This window comes from Homo sapiens, chromosome 15, assembly GCF_000001405.40.
Source record: "Homo sapiens chromosome 15, GRCh38.p14 Primary Assembly".
Lineage (NCBI taxonomy): Eukaryota > Metazoa > Chordata > Mammalia > Primates > Hominidae > Homo > Homo sapiens.
In genome coordinates, this window is record NC_000015.10 from 78,371,422 (window position 1) to 78,375,332 (window position 3,911).

Below are 3,911 nucleotides of genomic sequence, written 5' to 3' on the forward strand. Positions count from 1 at the left end.
CAAAGGAAGATATTAGAAATTGAAGTAAGGTCAGTGAAAAAAGAATGCTGGCTACTTAAGATGGCAAGTAAGAATGCTGGTTACTTAAGATAGCTAAGTAACATACAAAACTGGTTAATGTCCTGCAGGACAACCAAATCACAACCTTCAGGGTTATTTTTTTGAAGTATATAGAAATTAATTGCAACATCAATTTTCTACAGTTAACATCAGTTTTTACAAAGTCTGGCCACTAATCAACAGTAAATAGTAAGTCAGACATACTCTAAGGAGACTTTTAAAGGGCACATAATACTCCTTTTGCTTTATTTCCTAGTTTTGGATAATTTCTCTGCGTTAGGGCAAGTGGTGGTCCCTGTTAAAATGCAGGTTCCCTTGGATCAGAAATGCTTCCCACTGATTTTAGGAGTCCATTCATGCCTTTATTAGTCTGATAGACATTCCTAGAGCACCTACTGAGCACAGGGCCCTCGGGGGGCTATGGTGATGAATAGGACACTGCTGCTGCCCTCACTTGTGGTATCTAGGAGAAGGGCACAGACACAGATAATCCACACATGAGCCAGCAGGTCTGTACAAAGTGAAGTGCCCTGGGATTTAAGAGAGAAAAAAAAAAAATCTATGGAAGGGGAAAAGGGGAAGGTGCCAGTGGACCTGGGCTTAAAAGAATGGTAATATTTCTTTCCTTTTTTTTTGTTGTTTTTTTTTGTTTTGTTTTTTTGAGACAGCCTCTCACTCTGTTGCCCAGGCTGGAGTGCAGTGGCGCGATCTCAGTTCACTACAACCTCCACCTCCTGGGTTCAAGCAATTCTTCTGATTCAGCCTCCTGAGTAGTTGGGATTACAGGTGCGTGCCACCAAACACAGCTAATTTTTGTATTTTTAGTAGAGACAGTTTCGCCATGTTGGCCAGGCTGGTCTCAAACTCCTGACCTCAAGTCATCTGCCCACCTCAGCCCCCCAAAGTGCTGGGATTACAGGCGTGAGCCACTGTGCATGTCCAGTATGGTAAGATTTCAATAGGAGAACATGGGAATGAAAAGCACTCTAGGGGGGAAGGCATGGGCAAAGCCTTAGAGGCAGGAAAGCAGCAAACATGTTTAGAGGAATGGTGAGCAGCCTAACTTGATGATGCAAAGAGCTTGCTTAGTGAGAGAATGAGGTAGGACAAATAGTCAAAAATGGGATCCCAGAGTAGCTTGAATGCCAAGCTAAGGGATCTGGACTTTATCCAGTTGAAAACCAACAACTCTTGCTGGTTTGGGGACACAGATGGGCATGTTTAGCTTGTGGAGAAGGGACTGGATGGGCCTACAGGGCATGGAGGGAAGAGTCCCCATGCCCCATGACAAGAGCTTTGAACATCTCTGGGTGCAACCTGACTTTCATTTGGATCCTGCCTTTCTCTCACCTGAATAGAAGCCCTTCAGGTTTATCCCCTTTGAAATGCACTGCAAGTTTTGAGACCAGCAGAGGCAGGGGTGGAGAAGGGCCTGTGGCATGTTGCCATAGGGTGTTTGGGAAGAGAGACCCCCTTCCTCTCAGGCTTCCAAGTGCTGGACCAGGTCCCAGAGAGGCCATCACCCTATCAGGTCTTCTCCCTCTCCCTCATATAGGAGGCACTGCTTTGCCAGCCCCGCCCCTCAGACACTCCTAGCCAAGCCATCCAGGGGCGGAGCATGGGATCTGAGAATGCCAATCTTGGAGTCAGGTCAGAGTTCAATTTTTTCTTTTTTTGAGACAGAATCTTGGTATGTTGCCCAGGCTGGAGGGCAGTGGTGCGATCTCGGCTCACTGCACCCTCTGCCTCCCAGGTTCAAGCAATTCTCCTGCCTCAGCCACCCGAGTAGCTGGGATTACAGGCATGCACCACCACATCCAGCTAATGTTTGTATTTTTAGTGGAGACGGGGTTTCACCATATTGGCCAGGCTGGTCTCGAACTCCTGACCTCAAGTGATCCCCCCACCTCGGGGTCCCAAAGTGCTGGGATTACAGGCATGAGCCACCATGCCCGGCCCAGAATTCAAATTTTGTCTCCAGCACTTTATTTTATTTTTTATTTTTTGGAGAAAGGGTCTTGCTCTCTCACCCAGGCTGGAGTGCAGTGGTGCACACTCCTGGGCTCAAGCAATCCTCCTGCCTCAGCCTCCTATAGCTGGGACTATAGGCAGATGCCATCACACCTGCCTCTCTCTCTCTCTCTCTCTCTCTCTATATATATATATATATATATATTTTAGAGATGGGATCTCTAAATAAAAAAAATATATATATATATTTTAGAGATGGGATCTCTAAATAAAATATATATATATATATATATATTTTAGAGATGGGATCTCTCTCTATATGTAATAATATATACATATATATATATATGTGTGTGTGTGTATATATAGAGATGGGATCCCACTATGTTGCCCAGGCTAGTCTGAAACTCCTGGGCTCAAGCGATCTTCCCACCTCAGTCTCCCAAAATGTTGGAATTACAGATGTGAGCCACCATGCCCGGCCTCTGCACTTTCTTGCCATGTAACTTCAGCAGCATGAGCCTCCAATTTCTCAGATGTAAAACAGAAATAATAATAGTACCTCCCTCCTCATGTTGACACAGGAGCACATGCAGTAATGCCTGAGAACACCAACACTAAGCCTGGCCCACAGTATGTGCTCAGGCATGGGGCTGGGGGTGTCAGCAATAAGCCCCACCTGCTCTTTGGAATCTTTTTTGCCTTGGTAGATTTTGGAGAGGAAGAAATCTTGGGAAGAAGGACACCTGGGTTTTGGTCTTTTGTCAGGGAAGGAATCCAGTGTTTCACCTTGGGCAAGTCCCTGCCCTTGGGGGGACTTCAACTTCCTCCTTTGTGAAATATTGAGACATAGGTGGGTGATGTGGGCTAGGCTGAAGATCTGTGGGCTTTTTCAGCCCCCGGATTCATTTTATTCATGTCTGCATGCTGAGGGTTTACTGAGCCCCTACTATTGTCAGCCCTTGTGCTGGGCAATGGGACACAGCCAAGAACAAGGCGGACACAGCCAAGAACAAGGAGGACACCATCTTTACCCACGAGGGCCAAGGCTACCTCCCAGGTCCCACTATGCTCTCATTTTCAGAGCCACTGAGAAGGCCTGGTGTGGGCACCTTATGCGGGTTCTCAGGGAATGAGCACTCAACTCGGTGCCAGGCCAGCACCAGGTGCTGAGGCTGCACAGGGCCCTGCCCTTGAGGGCACACAGTCCGGTGGTGAGGGGGGTACAGAGTTGTATGGGAATGTGGAGGAGAGAACCACACCTCCATTTGGATGGGTCAGGAAAGACTTCACAGAACAGAGCCCTGTAATGGGTGGTTTTCCAGTATAAGAGGGAGAGGGTGTTCCAGGCAGACGTAACAGCAGACACAGGGCCTGGAGGTGTTCCCTGCACGGGAGGAGCTGGAGACTGGTAAATAGAGAGGCAGGCAGAAAACCCTGAATGGCCCATGCTGTGGAATTTGGACTTTATCCTGCAGACTATGAGGATAGAGATATTTAAGAAAGGGTGTCAGGTGACCCTATTTACTCTGGAGGACGGTCACTCTGGCTGAAGTGTGGAGGATGGGTTGGCTGAGGCAGGAATAGAGGCAGGGCAGCTGGTGCCCACACAGGAGAAACCAGAGGACCACGGGGATCAGTGGTGGCAGCCGGGATGGGAGGAGGGATCATGTGAGGTGGAAGGCCAGGGCTTGGTTGTGGGTTGGATATGGGCCAGGGGAGTCTAAGAGGCCTCCAGGATGCTGGCTAGAGCACAGGGAGGTTGGTGGGGTTGGTCGCTGAGGTAGGGAAGAGGAAGTGGAGCAGGGCGGGGCAGAGGCCTGGAGATGACGCATATGTTTGCAACAGGGGATCTCAGGAGGAGAGGCCCTGCAGGCACC

At 48.7% G+C, this 3,911-nt stretch overlaps 1 annotated feature.

Annotated features, from left to right (window-relative positions):
* Positions 2,658 to 3,451: an enhancer, noted in NCBI's record as "H3K4me1 hESC enhancer chr15:78666421-78667214 (GRCh37/hg19 assembly coordinates)". NCBI's record gives its function as "activates a minimal SCP1, AML or CMV promoter by ChIP-STARR-seq in primed H9 embryonic stem cells {active_cell/tissue: H9 hESC(primed)}" and the evidence as "EXISTENCE:reporter gene assay evidence [ECO:0000049][PMID:30033119]".